The sequence below is a fragment of the Homo sapiens genome, chromosome 4 (genome assembly GCF_000001405.40).
Source record: "Homo sapiens chromosome 4, GRCh38.p14 Primary Assembly".
NCBI classification, from domain to species: domain Eukaryota; kingdom Metazoa; phylum Chordata; class Mammalia; order Primates; family Hominidae; genus Homo; species Homo sapiens.
Genome location: NC_000004.12, coordinates 74,319,615 through 74,340,808, shown reverse-complemented (window position 1 = coordinate 74,340,808; position 21,194 = coordinate 74,319,615). Strand labels below are relative to the sequence as shown.

General features: G+C 36.5%; 1 long non-coding RNA gene across 2 annotated transcripts in view, besides 1 other annotated feature; it reads left to right on the top strand.

The window, feature by feature from the left end:
• Positions 1–21,194, top strand: part of LOC105377276 (uncharacterized) — an 87,048-nt gene that overhangs the window by 24,533 nt on the left and 41,321 nt on the right. The window contains exon 2 of one of the 2 annotated variants that reach the window (NR_188415.1): positions 10,505–10,611. This is a non-coding gene — a long non-coding RNA (uncharacterized LOC105377276). Of the gene's footprint in view, positions 1–10,339; positions 10,612–21,194 lie in introns of those variants that run through there. The other variant, NR_188416.1, reaches the window with a different exon arrangement.
• Positions 10,023–10,322: a transcriptional cis regulatory region, noted in NCBI's record as "candidate enhancer chr4.1828 targeted for multiplex CRISPR interference". NCBI's record gives its function as "positively regulates EREG gene expression with high confidence in K562 cells {active_cell/tissue: K562}" and the evidence as "EXISTENCE:mutant phenotype evidence [ECO:0000015][PMID:30612741]".

Below are 21,194 nucleotides of genomic sequence, written 5' to 3'. Positions count from 1 at the left end.
CCAAAGTATTATAAATTACTCTACTATAAAGACACATGCACACATATGTTTATTGCAGCACTATTCACAATAGCAAACACTTGAAACCAACCCAAATGCTCATCAATGATAGACTGGATAAAGAACATGTGATACATATACACCATGGAATACTATGCAGCCATAAAAAAGGATAAGTTCATGTCCTTTCCAGAGACATGGATGAAGCTAGAAACCATCATTCTCAGCCAACTAACACAGGAACAGAAAACCAAACACTGCATGTTCAATCTCATTCTTAACAGCATTCCCCAAATGATCTTGACTCATGTATTTTCCAATTTGCAAAAAAATCCATCAAAAATCATTATAAGATTTAACAACTTCATCACTGACAATCAGAAGTTTGCATTTATTCAACCTCTGTCTGTGAACTCACCTTCTCTTTGGAGCCTCTCCCATACTTAAAATAGACATGTAAGAATTTGACTGGCTGATAGATTTATATAGTAAAACCAGAGATCTGAAAAAGAAAATACCCAGTGACTAAGTGTCTTGGATCTAATGTCTGTAACTAGAAACAAAGACAATATTAGATATGCAAAGAACCTATATAATAACTATTATTATAATCACCTAAGCACTTAAGAATGAACACTAATTATGTCATAGATATAGTCATAGGAATGTAGTGGTAAAAATATACTTGTTGGATGTTTTAATATAAATGTGCTGGTAAAATAAATACAAACCTCATAGATTTCTTTCACTTATCTATTTTGAAAAATGTGGAGATATTTAAACTTACCCCATTGTTCCTCTTTACCTCCTTGTTGAATTCTCAGTTATGCTGATAGGTAAGATAGCTTGGGTAAGCATGAAGAGATCTAGTCCAACTCAGAGTCATTCCTATTTGAAATAAAAACATGGAAGTATTTGATTAATGTTGACAGAGCTTCTGTTCCAGGAGTTTACTTTATGTTCTGATTTGGTGGCAGGATTGTCCTGGGAACCCCTGGAGAAACCTGAGATGAGAACAGATTCAGATCAGTGTCCCTGCCAGAATCTCTGGGCTGAGCAGACAACCAAGAACAGAAAAAGGAATAGGTGCTTTCAGTACAAAGAGAATTTTCAGTTATGAGTGGTGGTGAACATACTCTCTCTTTCAGCTAAGACAGGACAAACAGGGTGTTCTTAAGGGGTAAAGGGCTTCCAGGATGTACTCTGGCAGTTAAGAATGGAGACTGAAATAGATCACAAAGAATTGGTATAGTGTCATTCTTGAATATTTTGGAGGGTGGAGGGAGGATAGACTGATATCTGTGTTTCGGTGACATTTTATGTAAAGACTAGGTAACTTCTTGGGGTCTTGACTCTGCTAATGCACATACATAACTCTGCCAATGTGCATACGTAACAGTGCTTCTCACTGTTTTTAAACTTCATTTCTGAATCCCAGATCCCACACTTATTAAGTTGGAGTTGTTTAACAGGCTTGAGTGATAGTTTTATCTATAGAATGGAGCTAACAGAACATATACCATGAAATACTTCTGAGATTGAAATAATTTCACATATTCAAAGTGCTGAAGATAATGCCTGGTGAATAGAAGGTACTCAGGACATAATACGTCATTTCTCCCTAAACACAGACACAGGCACATACACACACACATACTCACACTGGCTAAGAAACAATCCTTGTCCATGACAAAGATTTCAGATAAACAGCATATCACTAAATGTTAGAAAGGGTCCTTTATATTATTGCAAAATAAATAAAAGTTTACTGGATATGAATTTCCTCATTTGTGGAGAGTGTTGCAATGTCATGACGGCTAAGCAATGTTTTCACGTATGCACAGTTGTTGGGTAATCACGAAGATACTTAATTATAAACACCAACTCTTCAAAATTTAATGTGGGGAAGATCTTTGTTTTTTACAAAAGAGAATTGAGCAATAAGACATAGTATTTTTTAAATGTCTAAACTTCTTTGTCTGGGGGATAGGTAATAAATAAAAAAGAAGATATTTATTTGTGTTAAAAGTCATCAGGTATAATATGGGAATTAATTTCACTTTTAACTGTTTATAGTTTACTGTGTATCTAAGCTGGAAAACAGAAATAAATAATTTGATTATTCCTTTATCTGGTTTTTGTTTATTGATAAGCATAACATCTTTTTTCATTTTGGTTCTTGAGTTGATATCAATTGTATATTGTAAATGCTGTAAAATAAACTTTATAAGCCTGAGCTTAAGTTTTTCTTTAGAATTTTTTTCAGAAACTATAAATATTACAACATTTTTGGAATGGCTGCATATCTGAAGTCTTATTTTTTCAAGGACACAGCTAAGTTATTAAATGGATTAAATAAAGTCCCAAGAAGACCCTTGAAAGCACACATAATAATAATCTGAGAAAACGTCTGAAAGATTCAGTAATTCGGTAGTTACCTATAAAACTACAAGTCAACTAGTATTTGCTTTAAATACTCATAAAATTATTTATTCACTTAAACATTAGTCACAGAGTATATGATATTATTAGTGGCATTGAAATATAACAAGTTTCACAAACAAATCCTTCCATTCACAGAGCCATTATTTTTTTCATTATTTTAGCATTCCTACTAGCTAAACTAATTCCATTGATTCCACTGATTTGAGTGAGGGTAATTTTGCAGTAGCAGGATAAAAACATTATTGTTTGAAACAGAATGGACAGTGATCTCTTATAAGCTAAATGGTGTTTCTCCAAAATTCATATGTTAAAGTCCTAGCGCTTAGTAGCTCAGAATGTGATTGTATTTTGAGATAAAGTCTTCAAAAAAGTGATTAAGTTTAAAGGAGGTGGTTAGGGTAGGCCAGAATCCAATCTGAATGGTGTCATAAGAAAAAGAAATTTGGGCCTACAAAGAGATACCAGAAACATTAGAACACTCAGAGGAAAGAACAGAGCTAGAAGGCGGCTGTCCACAAGCCAGAAAGAGAAGCCTCAGGAGAAACCAAACTGTCTGACACCTTGATCTTAGCCCTCTAGTCTGCAAAGCTGAGAAAATAACCTTTTGTTTTTCAAGCCGCCTAATCTGTAGTATTTTGTTATGGCAGCTCAAACAACCTAATATAGATTTGATCTTTACAACCCCTTAGGAGGAAAGTAAGACTATTATTCCTTTCTTTTTTCTGAAACAGTCTTGCTCTGTTGCCCAGGCTGTGAGTGCAGTGGCACAATCTTGGCTTGGTGCAACCTCCACCTCTTGGACTCAAGAGATTCTCCTGCCTCAGCCACCTGAGTAGCTGGGATTAGAGGCATGCACCACCACGCCTGGCTAATTTTTTGTATTTTTAGTAGAGATGGAGTTTCACCATGTTGGCCAAGCTGTTCTCAAACTCCTGGGGTCGAGTGATCCTCTTGCCTTGGCCTCCCAAAGTGCTGGGATTATAGGCATGAGCCACCATGTCCAGCCGACTATGTGTATCATGTTGAAGATATGAAAGCATATTTTATAAGGATAAGTTCCTAGAACCAAGGTTGCTGACTCAAAGATGTATTGCTTCTTATATTTAAAATGTGATAATGTTTCCATTTCTTTATCAACCCGAGGGCTACACCATTAAACAGAAGTAAAGCATCATTTATATAAAGAAAATTGGTCCTTTGCTTTAGGGATGTCTTGCCAGTATTTTGTTTGGACTTTGATTTTCTTATGATACTTTTTTGACACCTCTAACGTGTTGTGTGGTTGAATTTATTTGTCTTTTATTTTACAATTTCTGTTTCCTTGTCCACACTCAAGAAGGCTTTCACTTAAATATTATAAAAAAAATTCCCTTGCCTTCTCTAGTACTTTCATAGCTTCATTTTTATGTTTAAATACTTGATTCATCTAAAATTTGTTTTAGTGCAAAGAGTAAGTAAGCAGCTTATTTTTTATATGTCTATCTCAATTTCTCAACATCATTTATGGAATGATCTATGTTCTTATGCACTGATCTGTAATGTTATCTTAGTGTTAAGACTCTACTCTATTGCTTCTTATCTTTTGATTCTGTTTTGCTTTATTGATGCAGCCAGTCTGTTTCACAAATTGACCAGGTGTTGTTTTGTTAATGTTGTATAAAATCTCAAGGCTTTCCTTAGAGAGAATTTACATTATCATGATGCTGAGTGTTTCTATGCAAGAGTGGGTATATTTTCCAATAGATTCAAATGCTCTTTTATCTCCCATAATAGCATTTTAACATTTTGTTCATAGGGCTCTTACACATTTCTTATTAAATTTATTGAAAGATATTAAAAATCATTCTGTGATTACTGTTTTCCATTTTATATTCTAATTGGTTATTGATTCTATATAGGAATGCCATTAAATTGTATATATAAATTTTTTTCAGCCATCTTACTGAAATATCTTTCTGATTGTAATAGTAAGAATAGTAGGAATTGTCTTATTTGTTCTGACAGGAGACTTGAGGCAATGTTAATATCCATAAACTAAATACTGGTTAATCAACATGGTGCATCAAACAAGGCAGTACTCTACAACTCTGGAATAAATGACACAGCCTTGAATACACTGGCACTGAAAAATCTACAAATACATAATATTAGGTTAAAAAAGCCCAAAACTAATGTTTCCAGTATGGTATGACAGCCCCTTGTTCAAAGCAGCTGTCACCTAGGAGGTCTCAAAGGCACTAGGCATGCAATATCATTTTCATTGTGCTTGGAGACCACAATGCTCAGGAATCGTAGAAAAGACAAATGATATTATCAAAAGGCACCTCAGAAAACTGTCTAAAGAGATTCATCTCCCCCTGGATTACTCTTCTTTCCATGGCACTAGTATGTGTTAGAAACAGCTTTCAAAGCTGGGTTTAAGTTCCTTCAAAACGATGTATAGATGGCCTTTTCTCACCAGTGGTTTCTTGCTAAACCAACAAACCCCTGATTTGATTAGACATGTAACTTCTTTGGCCCATTTCCAATAGGAACTGAAACAACTGTCGGAGGACCAATCCCGTGAAGTAGAACCACCTCTATTCAACCCAGGAGACCTAGTACTGGTAAAGGCTCTTCTTTCCTTTTCTCTCTCTGTGGCCTAGATTGGGAGGGGCCTTCAACTGTAATTCTTTCTACTCCTACATCAGTAAAGTTCACTGGAATAGATTCTTGGATTAATTATACTCGAGTAAAGTCTGGGAAACTGATGAAATTACCTCTGTTGACCCAGAAGAGCACCCAAAGCAACAGTGTGAAGAAACAAAACTTAAGTGTCAATAATTAACCTTCAATGGATATCCTCTTTATAATCTCACCTATGCTTGCTGTACTCGCCTTTGTTCTGTTCCTCACCATAAGGCATCTTTGCCAAGACTCCTTATTACTGAATGTCCCTGGGATTATCTACTCTCCTAAACAGCTATCTCTCTTCTAAAGTTTAATTGCCTTCCCCCATACAAGATTTAATTTCCTTCACTGGGGTGAAATATCTGTGGCCACAACATTGTTTTCAGAATGATTAGTCTATTTTACTTCTTATTTCTGTTATCGTTGGCAATAGAGATTTTCCTTTTAGCTCCTCTTTGTATACTACACATATTTGGTCCACGCATATTTAACCTCCTTGTAAAATTTGTTTATTCTCACCTAGAGACCATCAAACTCCAAATGGTCATGCAAATGGAGCCACGGGCAATGGGTCCCATTTCCTGGTCCCATTACCCGGGAAACACTTTGATAGGCCTCTGAGAGATCTGACTGCCGTTTTCCCAAAACAGTGCACCCTGTTAGCATGAAGCAGTTAAGAGCGGTTACTGTTTGTATCCTAACAGCAGTTAGATGTACCTCTTCAGAGGAGGGATTGATAGCAAAAGGAGGCAGACAGATTCCTAGGCAGATAGGGACAGGTCCCCGGTGAAAGCCGACCTTCAAGCCAAAGACAGCCTGAAGCCTGAAAACCCAGCAGACAGTTCTGGATAGCGTCCAAGACCAGAGTGAGAATACCCTCAGCGCATTTTAGCCAGTCAAATGGTGCTTTTTCCACGCCTCCCCATGGACCAGTCAGAATGCACTCTCCTCTTCTGAGCCATTGAAAACCCTGAACTGAGCCATACATTGGATTACTCACTTTCTGGGCCCCCTCTCACGCAGATGACTTCCCTCCCTTGGGTCCCCTCTCCACTGACAGCTTTCCTTCTGTTGCTCAATAAAATTCTTCTCCACGCTGCTTACTCTCCACTGTCTGCGTACCTAATTCCTCTTGGTTGCAGGACAAAAACCCAGAACTCGCCCTGTGGGCAGCGGGAACAAACGAGATATAACACAAATGAACTGTAAAACGAATGATCTGTAACACGCCCCCGTTTGCCATGTTGCAGGCGGCAGGAACGCGAGGGAGCTGTAACATCTCTTGGTGGCTCAGACCTCAGGACTCCTTGGGTGAGAGCCATAACACCACTTGGAGCTCCGCAGTTGCTTGCCACTCCTAGTTTTTGGGCACCACTACATCCCCCTCATCCAGACACCAGTGCCCAAGGTGGAAGCCAGTTGCGACATGCCTGGACCAATAGCAAGCTGAGTGCAGAGCTGCAGCGGGAGCAGGTTCTGGGCTGGTAGCGCGAGCTGAGTGTAGCCCACTGGGTTGAGTGGGCAGAGCAAACCCTGTGGTCATGAGCGAAGCTGGGGCAGAGACGCCACTGGCTATGAGATTTCCGGCTGGCTAAGTACCCCCAAAAAACTCCTGTAACACAGTAACCGCTCCCTCCTGCTGGTGGAGCCACAGGGAAGAAAAGAAGCTGCTTGGGTGCCATTCCCTCTGCATGCTGAACAACAGAATCCTGTGTCACTAGTTTATGCTTAGAAAATATGTGAAGTGATACAAAATAATTTTTATCTCTGAAAAGTATAACTAGTGGTTAGGAAACAATAATGGAAGGAAGTACTACCATTATCTGAATACCCTTTTTATTATCCTTTATATCATGTTCATATACGATCTATTACAAGGGAACTGTTTTTTCCTTTTTGAGACAGTCTCACTCTGTCACCCAGGTTGGAGTGCAGTGACAAGATCTCAGCCCACTGCAACCTCCAACTTCCGGATTCAAGTGATTGTTGTGCCTCAGCCTCTCAAGTAGCCAGGATTGCAGATATGCACCACCACACCTGGCTAATTTTCATATTTTTAGTAGAGATGAGCTCTTGCCATGTTGACCAGGCTCGTCTCAAACTCCTAGGTTCAAGTGATCTACCTGCCTCAGCCTCCCAAAGTGCTGGGATTATGGATGTAAGCCACTGTGCCCGGCTCTGTTTTCTCAGAAGCTTAACAGGCATACAATTTTGAAAATTAAGCTTGATAATAATATTCTAACTTTACCTGAACTCCAAGCATTTTATATAGCTGTACTTATTAAATATATGTATTGGACTGGTTCTAAAAGAGGAAGAGTGAGCAATAAAATAGGACTTGATCTTGTAAATATGAATACAAAGTAAATATATATAGTATACATTTTTTGCCTTACTATATATAATAAATAGATACGTGACAAATGAGTCATGATAAATTTAAAAAGAACTAAAATTTTCATCTTGCTATACACAGAATCTTTAAAAAATAAAATAAGTCAACTTTTTTGTGTGTGAATGGAAAAACTTCTAAAGCAAAAATAACTTGTGGTAAAGATCTTTCTATGTGAAAATATCACTTTTAAAATTATGTATTTCAAAGAGAAATATAGACTAAATAAAAATGGGGAAATGACTTGGAATAAGCATTTGCAACACAAATGTTAAAGGGTTAATATTTGAAGTGTTTTAAATTTTTTATATCTAAATTAAAAAATCATTCAACCTAATAGATAAATAAGCTGTGAAGATGAACCGACATTTTACTAAACTAGAATGACAAATGTCCAAAAAACAAAGGAAAATATTCAATCTTACTTGAAACAGAAGATGCAGCTAATTTTACTCCATTCTGAGATGAGTTTTACCTGTCTTTGTTCATTATGTAACCTTGCAGCACAGATATAAGAAATCATTCTCATAAAGGTTTCAATTTTATGATCAATATTTTTCATGACAGTTTTAAGAGACAGGCAGCTATACTTGGGTATTTCTAGGTGAGCGTCCTCCATTTTTCAACATTCTCCTTAAAATCATTACAGTACTTGGTTATGTTAATATGTTTCTATTTAATCCAAGTGTAATCTGCATTTTATAGGCCTTGACAACTTTTGGGTCACAATAACAGAAATATCTCCCGTCTTTTGCTCTTTGCTGGGTAGTCACCTGAAGTTTTTCTTCCCCTTTTTCCTCCCAGCTTTCTCTCTCCCTCCCTTTCTTTCTTTACTCCTGCCTTTTTTTTTTTTTTGGATAAATTTTAAAAACGTAGAACAGTCCAAAGATTTATCTACTCAAAATTTATATACCCACCTTGTAAATTGTAAATTTTTAATATTTGCTTCCAGTTCTTTTTAACATATGAAATTAGATAATATAGATAAAATACCTAAACTTATATAGTATTTTTTTCTTACTATGCTCTGTTCAATGTGCTTTCCATATATTGAAGTCATAACTCCATATGTAACTAGTATATTAAATCACCTATTAGCTAATCCTTATAACAATTTTATGAGTTAGTTCTACTATTATCCCCATTTTATGAATGAAGAAACTGAGGTGAAGAGAGCTTACATAGCTTTCCCAAGGTTCATGTATTGTAAATGGTGGCACCAAGAAACCCAAGCTTTGTAGCACTGGAGTCCCTGCTTTTAGTTTCTCTCCTATTTTAAAAGTGATACATAGTACTTCTCCTTAAGACATAAATATTTAATGATATTAATAGTTAACTATATCTTTTACAGTCATTCTTAGTTTTTATAATTTTGTAACATGGTCTCTTTTTAGTCAATATCTTTGTTCTTTATTTGAACAAGACAAGAATTTAGCACACCGGAACTCCTTTCTAAATTTTCCCTCCAATCTTCCTTTATTATTGTTGTCTGGTGTTTAAGTTTCACATTGTTAATTTGTAAATGTTGTCACAAATTAATTTTAATTTCTACTCAATTGACAAACACATATCTCTGACTTCCTTGCTCATCACTGATACTTGCATGGTATTTTTTTCTCCTGGGTTCTTGTTTCATCTTGCTGAAATACATTCACTGGCAGTCTTCAGTATCGTTTAGAGGTGATATGGTTTGTCTCTGTCTCCCTACCCAAATCTCATGTTGAATTGCAGTTCTCAATGTTGGGGGAAGGACCTGGTGGCAGGTAATTGGATCATGGGGGTGCATGTCCCCCTTGCTGTTCTCATGATAGTGAGTGAATTCTCGTGGGATCTGGTGGTTTAAAAGTGTGTGGCACTCCCACTTCTCTGTCTCTCTCATGCCACCATGTAAAGACATGCTTGCTTCCCCTTCACCCTTCCACCATGATTGTAACTTTCCTGAGGCCTCCCCAGGCATGCCTCTTGTACAGCCTGTGGAACTGTGAGTTGATTAAATCTCTTTTTATAAGTTACCCAGTTTCAGGTAATTCTTTACACCAGTGTGAGAATGAACCAATACAAGAGATATTAAACTCTTAGTCTTTTGTAGATACAGAATATTATAAGCTCTACGTTCTTCAACTTAGACTTTGCTGGGAAGGACAATAGGAGTTTACAAGCCCTAAGGATGAGTTTAATGGGGAAACTTGAAAAAAATTAGAAGACAACTACCATTAGTCTTTGGAAAGGTAAACCTCTGATTATAACATAGATTATATAGAAAAAAGAAAGTAAGCAAACATTAACCGGTGAATTACTACAAAATTACATTAAATTTATTGTTTGTTTTCTTAGGATCTCACTGTGTCACTGCAGTGGGATAATTTAGGAATCAGAGAGACTGAGGGGCCGGAGAGGATATATATTATTTATTATTTAGGTGCACTGGCCTAGTCAGATTAGCATCCAAAAAGACTGAGCCCCGAACAAAGAGTGAGGTTACCTTTTAAGCATTTCATGGGGCAGCGGGAGATCTTTGCAGGGGGAAGCATATTACAGAAGTGAGAAACAAAGACCGTTATTCAATTGAGACACTCATTACATTATTTCTAACTTTTCAAGGAAAAACATGTTTTACGACTTGAGTTTATCTGCCTAGTAACCTTGCAACTGCACAGTTAGAGAAACAGGATCTTCGCAATGCCTGGGAAAGAGAGAGATAAGACTCACAAGCCACAGACAGAAAAACAGGCGTTAATTTTTAAAGGACTCCACCTCTTTTTCTTTCTCAGGGGGAATTGGGTTTTTTTACATACAACTGAGTTTTCGCTTACACGTTCTTTAATTTCTTTTAATTCCTGTTTCATCACCAGGCTGGAATGTAGTGGTGCAATAACAGCTCACTGTAGCCTCGACCTCCTGGGCTCAAGCCATCCCCAACCTCACCCTCCCGAGTAGCTGGGACCACAGGCGTGTGCCACCACACTCAGCTAATTTATTTAAAACAATTTTTTTTAGAGATGAGGTCTCCCTTTGTTGCCCAGCTGGTCTGAAATTCCTGGTTTCAAGTGACCCTCACACGTCAGCCTCCTAAAGAGGTGAAGTTATAAGCATGAACCATTGTGGTAAGTCTTTGTTTGTTTTTTATATTATCATCATAAAGTTGAGTTTCTCTTTCCATATGTTTGCTAAGAAGAATAAAATAATTTATAAATTTGGTTGATTTATAATCCTGAGTCACAAAATGTTTGTTTAAAAAACTATATCTGTTAAAATATTTGTCCTAGAAAACTTTGCATTTAAACTTTGTCTGTCCTTGAAAAAAATGTGAAATTAACTTGTTGTATAGACCATGGTTGAATTTTTGTAGCTTCAATTATACATAAGTGGTTTGAGTTTACTTGTTAGAAATACCAAGATCCTTTGTGGCTGTGGCTGAATGTCTATTTTTTTGTTTTTACTATCAAAGGTGGTAGAATTCTATGTTAACAGAGATTTCCCCTGAGTATTTTGAACACTTTATTCCATTGTGTTATGGCATCTACTTTCACTGATGAGAAATCTACTGCCATTATAATTAACTAGTTTTCTTTTTTAGTAATATTTCTTTTTGTGTGTATGGCTTTGAAGTTTTTAAACTATGTTTTTTAAACTAAGTTTTAAGACTATGAATACAACTTCAATTTAAAGATTTATATCCTGCTTTCATTCTGAAAGTTCTCAGCCATTATCTCTTAGATATTTCCTCTAACCTAGCCTTTCCTTCTGGAACTCATGTTGGGCTTTTTTTTTTTTTCTGAAATTTTCATGCTTTACATCTCTTTACTTTGTGATGCATTCTAGCTGATTTCTTCAGATCATCTTCCATATTTCTAATCTTCTCTTCAGCTGTGCCTACTGTAGTACTTATTCTACTTACAAGATATGTTTTTAAATACTGAAGACTGTATTTTTAACTGTAGGATTTTTACTTGTCTATTTTATCCATATAATGCTCTTATCTTCTGGGGTGTTTCCTTTCTTGTCTCTGAACATTTTAAGCTCCACTTTTCAAAAGGCCAGTTAGATCATAATTTCTCTAATTACTTTGGTATGAATTCCACACTAGTTGGGTCTATGGACACCCTCTCCTCTGAAATTATCTGTGTGTTTTATAATTTTTATTCATGAGGTCATCTTAAGTTGGAATTTGTTCTCTGGAAGGTCATCACATACCATTTGCTATAGAACTTCTCCATAAGACTGTCTATGTATAACTCTGCTTAGGTGCAGTGAGGGCCACTAGTTCTGAATCTTTCTTTTATTTTACACTGCCATACACACTACTTTTACACTGTATTTTACACTGCCATACACACTTCTTTTATTTTACTATGCCATATGAGTAATGTGATTTCAGGCCCCTGCTTCTTCTTGGTATATATTCAAGTTCTGATTTTTTGGAGTTGACTCTGTTTCTACCCACAGCCTGTGTAATTTTTTCACATTTATTGAAATCTTGACTGTCTGGTGCAGATTTTCTAGTCTTTGATCATAAATAGAATAGAAATTTCCTAGCTCAGGGCTTCATCTTCTCATGAGATCATAACAATCCTAAGGCATCTTAAGGCTAACCATGCCCTGAGGCATCTATCTAATACAATCCCAACCACAATTCCTTTCTCCACATGATGCTTCAACTTCAGCTCTATGACTCCAGAAATCATTCTCTTTTTGACACTTAGAGATTTCTGTCTTTTGAGTTCAGTCACGTAGTAGCAACTTCTGACACTCAAATAGTTTTCCAGGTTAAAATGTATGCAGGAAAATGTTATAACTATGATGATATCAAAAGCCATAGAAAAAGAACTTTACACAATTATGTTATGAATCCCAATGATGGCATCAGCTTCTATTGCTCTGCTAACTAAAAAAAAAAAAAATACAGGAAATCTGTAATACATCGTTTTGTTGTGACAGAGTTGTGTTAGTGTTAAATGAACATTCCTGCTGAAGTGATATGGTTGAGGTTCAAGCTGTCTCATTTTGTACTCCAAGGTTTTCAATAGAGCTGATATTTGAATAGCCATCTGTAATTTTGAAAAGATGCTGTTAGAATCACATAATAGGCAGTGAACAGCAAATTATCAAAATGAGTATGCTGAAGAGAAAGAAAGGATAGCACTTTACTAGTGCCAGCACAGAAAGAGGAGTTGGCATTAATTGACATTTCAGAGCATTTTCAGACATATCCTCACAGGGAACTTTTTCTTTCTCATACATTTTGGTAAGAATGACTCTCATTTTTGTGTGGCAGTCTCTCATTAATAAAAATTCGCATATAAAGAACTTTACATGGATGACACACAGGAAAAGCCATGACACATAACTTTAGCTGGAATAATTTTTTGTGCTTCCTGTTTTATTCACGCTGCTCTTCAACAAGCTATAACAAATTTCCTACGTAAGTTTGAAGCCAAAAAATTTTTATGGCTAAATTTTACATCAACAGTCTATCCACATACTTTGAATAGGATGTTTTGAAAGCAATCTGTTAGAAAATCTCTGGTGCTCAATATTTCAGATTTTTCCCCATCTTTTGAAAGCATAAAGTTTTAAAATGGCAGAGTTAGGAGTAATAGTCTCTTTGCGAAGAAAATGGTTATTTTGTTTGCTTTTCATTTCTACCTTCAAAGATCTTCAACAGGGCGTGCCTATGACTAATTGGGATAGCAAATATATATATTATTTTTGAAAATATAGACTCCTAGGCACTGCTTACTGGAATTCTGATTTTCTTTATTTCTGTTAAAGCCTGGAAATTTTTATTTTATTAAACACCAACTGTACATGATTACTTTTCACATTAAATATTTAGAGCCATTGATATGAGGCGGCATGAAAGAGCATGGCAGTCAACACACCAAGAAAGGTATCCAGAGTATGGAGATTTCTGCATAGGCTCGTCATTCCTTTATTTCAAGGCCACATTCATTTGTAGAACAACTGATACTTAGAATTCAGTGAACAGTTTTATTCTTGCTACACATAGTGAAGGCAAGTGGAATTTAACATATGTCATGTGGCTGGGGGTGGTAGCTCACACCTCTAATCCCAGTATTTTATGAGGCCAAGGTGGGAGAATCACATGAGCCCAGAAGTTCAAGACCAGTGTGGGCAACATAGGGAGACCCCATGCCTACAGAAAATCTAAAAAGTTACCAGGCTTGGTGACACAAGCCTGTGGTCCCAGCTACATGGGAGGTTGAGGCAGGAAAATTGCTTGAACCCAAGAGGTCAAGGCTGCAGTGAATGATGATCATGCCACTGCACTCCAGACTGGGTAACAGAGCAAGATCCTGTCTCTTAAAAAATAAAAAAGTGTGTAAGTGTGTGTATACACATTTTATGAGAGAGATATATATATACACACACACACACGTATCTTTATATATATATATCATGGAATTTGAAATTTATAAACTGGATCTATAGAATTTAATTAAGAAAAGTCCAGGAATGCAGGCAGTTTTTCAAGGAGAGATGGCAACATAGAGGTGATTTAAATATAAATGAATTTAAAGAGTTTAGGACTAATGAGGGGTTTCATTATAAAGTAACCCTAAAATATCTGATGAGAATTGCTTACAATTTTCTCATGAATTGGCTAAGAAATACAAAAATTACTAGAATTTGTAATTTAAGTAATGTGATTACTAGTATATCATTGGTAGAAGTAATCCTAAAATGAATGGCCAAAAGTACACACAGTTAAATTCATCATTTACAAAAGTATTCACATTAGTTCACTGAGCATTGTCTTAAACATATTGCTTGTTTTAGCCAACTTTTAAGCACAATTTTAAAATAAGCCATGGATTTACTGTCATTTTGTAGTTTTATTGTTTAAATTTTTTGTTGTGATGCTGCTATTTTTAATTATTGTTGTTCATATAGAAAATAATTATTCAATTTTTGATTTGAAGACTGATGAGTACCTCCTATGCTCTTCTATACCAGCATATAAGTACAAATTTTCAAAATCTGATTTTATTACATCTTAATTTATTCTTATTTTATTACAGATTTCTCTAAAATAGAACATTCGAACTACTGTAATTTTTGATTTGCTTATTTTAATTTTAACATTTATGCCAATCCATTAGACACGTTGAGAAAATTATCAAGCAAAATCTTTGAAGTGGGGCTTAGAGTCCAATTACAACACACAATAGCTTTGATGTGGGCTATCCCATCAGAAACCTTTGTGCCATAAATTTTACCTAAATGTCTAAATACTGTATCATTTCTTCAATCAATTCCAAGTATGCCAAAAACTCACTTGTCTGCTCTAAAATGTCTTCAGTTGTTTTACATAAAATGGTTAACAAATCTAGGTCATCAGACACCATCCTTATAAAAAAGGCAAATTTAAAAACTACATAAAAGGCAATAACTAAATTATTGGCTCCCATTCAATTTTAAGGTTAAACAAATTTAGATTAAACTCAATCTTCCAATTATTCATTTAATATTCAAATGAGAGTTTTATAAAGTCACGTTTTTCAGCTTGGTTTCAGCTTGTGGTCGTATGATAAAGGTGGGGGTCTCATAAAGTATTCTCCAGTTAGATCCACTTTGCTATCCAAGGTGATTCTGACATTGACATTGAAGGAGGCTTTAAGCCATTTTCAGTTTGGTCCTCTAATTGGATTCTCCATTCTACCTAGTTATTTCTCTTTTTTGAAGTTGCAAAATGGACATGATTTTCTTTCCAATGTGGCTGGTAGTTTTTAAAAGCACAGTGAGACTGATGATTTTTATGAATTTATTTCTTGGGATATTCTCACTAAAGAAACATCAAGATTTTGGGTCATTTGCTTCAAAGCAATAAACTGATCTTTAATCAATTATCTCACTATTTTTTAAAAATTTATAAATCTGCTGTTGCTTGCCACTACTGGTTCACCAAGTGTGGTTAAAAGCCCGCCTTAAATGCTTCATTTTCAAGTTCAGTGCAGTAACGGGCAATTACTTTTTTTCAACATGCCTCATGATTTCAAGTTTTTCTGAATTTTTCTCATCGTAAATACTCTGTATAAGATTATAAACCAAATTTCTTGTTTCAAGTAAGTTAAGAAGGATGTTCTAGAAAAACAGAATTTTCAGTTTATTTGTTATCTGGAGACATTGCAGAACGCTGGAACTCTTTTTGCTATGTATTTAATACGCAAAGTAGGAAAAATATTTGTTATTTACACAAGTCTGGAATATGGTAAAACTGATTTATGGGAACCAGTGGTTTTATGTAATCAAAAATTAAAAATTGCTACTGATTTAGAAGGTTACAAACTAATGTTCGAAAAAGCCTTTCTGTAAAGGACTCATGGATGCATCTAGAAAGCATACTTTATAAACAGCATAACCATGTGGGTTACTAACCGCAATGTTAATATCCAGATCCTCTAAACGTGAAAAAAAAGTGCCATATTTTTTGTTTTTCACTGTATGTGCAAATTTTTTAGTCTTTGAGCTTTTCATTTAAAAAATGAGTTGGGCTTATATGAAAATGTGAGACTGTATATATGTATTAAAGAAGCTCTAAGGAGCACAAATTTCAGAACTTTCTACTTTAATCTTTGAGTAAACATGATCGCCTAGGAAGATGGTTAATGTTTAAGATAATGATGAACCCTAATGGCTAATTTATCTAAAGAAATCCGAAGGCAAAGCTGGAAATTCAAAACATGGCTCAAATCAGGGGCTCAAACAATGTTGTTAGGAACCTGATTATCTTCCCTGCTTCTCTCTGTGGTAGTTTCATTCTCAGGTAGCCTATTGTTCTCTAGTAGCACTGACCAGCTTTAGAAAATCTAAGATGTGATTCTGCTGATTTAACAATGCAATCTGAAAGAGAGAACTCCCCATCACCTCCCAGAGAGGGTATCAATAAAAATCCCAGCACTGATTTTCATTGAACTAGCTTAGGTGGAATGCATGCCACTCAGTTAATGCTAGTAATACCTGTGGGCTGGGGGAAGTTCCCAAATGTTGGTGGGAACTTGAACCGAGCCGGTGCCCAGGTTCTTGACACCTTCACAAGAAAATGTTCAAGGATAAGTCAGAAAATAGGGGAAGTATGGAGATTTATTTCAAAATGAAAAGTACACACTCAAGAAAGGGGAGTGTGGGTGTACTCAGAGTTGTATAGTGGAGTTTGAGACTTCTACCTTTATGGGTTTCTTTAACCAAGGAACAGAATATTCATGAGTGTTCCTTGAAAAAGGTGAAGATTTCTCTAACTTCGATGCCACCCATTTTTACACCAAATAGGTGTGTTCCTGGAACTGTCGTGGCACCTGTGGGTGTGTGATTTAGTGTGTTAATGAGCATATAATGAGGTCCTAGGTAACAGCAAGGTCAAATCCACCATGTTGTGTCCAGTTTTTCTTAGGCAGCTTGGTCCACACCCTGTTTTTCAGGGTCTTATCAGCCCCTAGCCTCTGCAGCTATTTCAACAGTTTCTTTTTGCTAGTTATGTAAAACTGCTGCCTGGAATTTTCTATTCTCTTGCGACCACTCTGTATTGTTCCTGTCTCTATAGCAGTAATACTGGGGGTAATGGAATGCTTTGATTACTTCTGGAATGAGAATTGAGGGATGCACAACTAAACCAGGCGCAATGAAGGTGAAGGAGAATGGTACTCCACAGCAAAATTGGTGTGGTTTTTGGAAGGGGCATGGATGCTGGGAAGGCACAAAAACAAACAAAAAACTTTTAATTTTTACAACATGCAAATACAAACCACTGGAAGATAAATCAATTCTAACCAGGTTTAAGGAGCAGCTGAAGGTATGTTCACCTATCGGAAGCTCTCTAGTTCCTCAAGCAAATGGACTTCAGTCTACCCAAAGCACCAGTATGCAGATGCACCTGTTTGCTTAGCCTACCTAGGCAGACCTAAGCCCTGACAGTAACATGTGTTAGACTCAAAAGGGGGACCCTAATACCTGTATATACCAAGTTTGACTCTCTTATTTCTTATAGATTCCTTTGTTTAATTGTTCCTTTTTTTAATCAAATGTTTCATCAATTCTTAAGCAATTTCTTACTGTAAGATCTGCAGTTTGGGCTAATATACTGCCTAATATAGACTGCTGAAGGAAGCAAAACCGTTTTTCTTCCATGCCATTTAAAGACTTTTGAATAAAAGTAACAGTTTGCTCAGAGGGTAAAACAGAGGGGAATAAGTCTCAAGGAAAAGAAGAAGAATTGGAGCTATTCCTATTAATACAGTAAGTTGATAATGTTAGGATGAAAACCATCTTTGAATGTTAGTTGATTTAAGAAGGAAAATATAGTCATAAAGGTTTCTAATCATTTATAACTTGAAAAAAAGTACAAATAATATGATGAGAACTTGAATCCACAGTAATATGGGGCTTTGGAATTTTGTCCTTGACACTTGTAAATTTAGGTGGAGAAATGAGGGTTATGATAACCCCCAGGTCCCAAGGTCCTGAGTGCCTAATATCAGAATATTTCAAAGGTTTAATAATTATCATGAAGGTTGAGACTGAGATACAAGGGTTGTGATAATTTCAAGGTACAGTCAGTTCTGTTTTAATGCTTGTCTTGAAAGCGTGAGTTTATTCCAACATAAAGAATAATCTGTACATAACAGGAACTTTGTGTTTGCTTAGGTATAATTTCACCTGAGAGAAATGCTAGATGAGGAGAAAACTGTTGAGCAGAGCAGCATAGGAGAGAGCATACATGTGTGCAATTCTCAAATATCTACCAGCGATCTTGGCTCATGTTTGAGTTATAAACCACACTCAACCACATCTGCTGTTATAACTTTCCACCCAATTTTAAAAACCCCTCTTCCATCACTTGATAATAATTCACAAGCTAAACCCTGCCAATACCCACTTCCACAAGCAAACTGCAGGTCTTTTTAAAGACAACGTACCATGTTTATTGTACTGTTTATGTATATTTTAACCACCTAAAATGTATAAAATTGTGTTACCATTTTTAGAGTTTTTTTGGTGTTTTTAATATGTTACTGAAGAAGTTTTTTGAATATTGTTTCTCAAACCCCCATTTTTGAATGAGTCCTGTAGGATATCCTGCTCAATTTTTTAGTGTAATGATTTTTAGGAATACATGTCACCTTGTAACAAAACTTACCGTGTTGAGTGTCATTAAGAGTTTCAATGGGAGTTTTAGATGATTTATAATTATAATAAGTAATATTTATTGAATGAGTGCTATGTTCTATGAATTTTACCTGTATTAGCTATCTGATTTAACTTAACCCTAAAATGATCCTGTGGGTGTGATTATTTTCCCCATTTTATAATGGAGGCAACTATGATTTAGAGGGATAAAATAATTTATTCTCAACCACAAAGCTAATAAACAGCTGGAGTTCAAAACCCAGCTCTCTGAGAATGCAGATCCCACTTCAAAAAACACTGGGCAAACTCAACCATGGCCAAACTGTGCTAAGTGCAGCAGGACTTGTATTCAGAGAGACCAGCAGCCATGTGCTCACCTGCCTGTCACTAATTAAGACCACAAAGCCTGGGAACTGGACAGCCTTGCAGCCAAATCCAGGTTCCACCACTTACTGGGTGCATATCATTGAACGAGTTGCTTAAACTTTCTGAATTTCAGTGTCCTAATGTGAAAAATGGAATTCAATTGTAATACAATAGCTAACATTCATTGAGCACTTATTATTAACCTCAAAACAATCTATGATATAAATATTGTCCCATTTCTACAAATGACAAAACTTGGGCTTAGAAAAGTAAAAAAAAAAAAAAAACTTGATTAAGGTAGCACAGCTAGTAGGAGTGAAGCTGGATTTCAACCTGTCTGTTAAACTCCAGACAATTGTCTTCTTAACCACTGTTGAACACAACCCCTAATAAAACCTTTCACCTGGATGTCTCTGAGGATTGAGGGAGATACTATCTGTAAATCATTTTGCACTGTGCCCAGTCTATGATGTGAATTTAATAAATGAAGTTCATTGTCATTATTACCATTGGAACTTAGCTAAGAACATAAGTAATTATAATACAAGGCAGAATGTAAGTGTTTGAAAAGTACAAAAAAAGAGAAAGATGTCAAGGAAATTCAAAAGAAGGAGAAATGACATTTGTAAATAACACCATTCTTTAAGGAGGGGGCAGCATTTGAAAAAAATAATGTGATCTTGGCAGAGGTGAGGGAGGGTAATACATGTAGCAGGAACAGTAGAGACGGTAAAACACAGAAATGGATTGTGTGGCCCATTTGCAGAGCATAGAGCAGTGGTTGGCCACAGCTGATGATATGCATAGGGCGAGGGGGGATGAGAAAGACAGACCACCTGAGCCTCCCTGGAGAGGGCTTCACAATGCAGGCTGAACAGTCCTTGCTAAACATGGTGCACAATGGGGAGTCAGTGTCAGTTCTCAAGCTGGGAGGCAACATAAGCAAGCTTGTGCACTGAAATGACAGATCTGGCAAGGATTATAGCAGAGAGTGACTGAAGGTGTGGGCAGGGCAGTGCCTGAGTCACCAGATGCCACCCCTGCCGGTTTCCAGGTGAGTGTGGGTTCTCCTAATAAGCACATTCTTGGGCGACTCTTTGATCTGAGACTCCTTTATAATTTATGAGGTTTGCAGTACAATGGGGCCCTCTACAGGCATCTTGATGATTAGACTCAGGAGAATTTAGATGAGGAAAGATTAAAATGAAACCAAAGAAGCAAGTTTGCAGACTTAAAGGCCCATAGGACCCTGTGCTGGCAGCCTAAGCAGCAGCAGCAGTTGGGTATTGAGGCATGCTCCTTCTAACCAAAGTTACAAAAGATATAGAGCGCTGGCACAAACAAAATAGGACCAGAGCTCTATATTTTTTATTTTTCAAAAGAGGCTAGATTTTTAAAAATAGTAAAAGAGCTTGGTTTTTAAATGTGGGCTTGATTTAAAACAAACACCACGAAAGCTAAAGGGAATATGTCTGTGGAATAGATCTGCTTATCGGCATCACATTTCCAATGTACAACTTCCAACCAGGAAGGGAATGTGGAGGTCATCTTCAGAGTCTAACTTCTCCACTTAACAGGCAAGGATATCATATCCAAAGAGTCCCAGTAAAGTTCAGATCACACAGCTGAACTAGAAGACCGGTCATTTTAGTGCCAAACTATTGCACAGATTTTTTAAAATGTTATTTTCCAATTTTTTTCCTAAGCTGGACCACCGCTACTTACTGCTTTTCTGCAAGGTGCATGGGGGGCTGGGGTAGGATTGAGGATAATGTGGAGAGAAGGGGGTTGATGAGATTTTACTGTAGACATGACAATCACTTGGATTCCTCACCCCTCATCTCAAAAACAACCTGAGTCAGGTATGTCTCAATAAAGCTAAAAAAATGTTGGGAAATAGCTTGTAGCCAAGATTAGAATATTTCCAGTATTCTCTAGGAATACTGGCTACAGGTTAGAGTAGAATATTCCCAATATTCCAAGAGAGTGCTCTAAGAGAATACTCCTCATTCCTTGAGTCATGAGGATAAGCCAGAATTCCTTTACAGTATACAGTCTCTCCCCAGACTGTGCACTCAACTGTCAGCAGGCACTTGACGTTGATCTGACCTCACCCTGAGGGTGTTATACATATCTTAATAATTTGCAGACGACAGCAGGGGAATTTTGTGGTTGA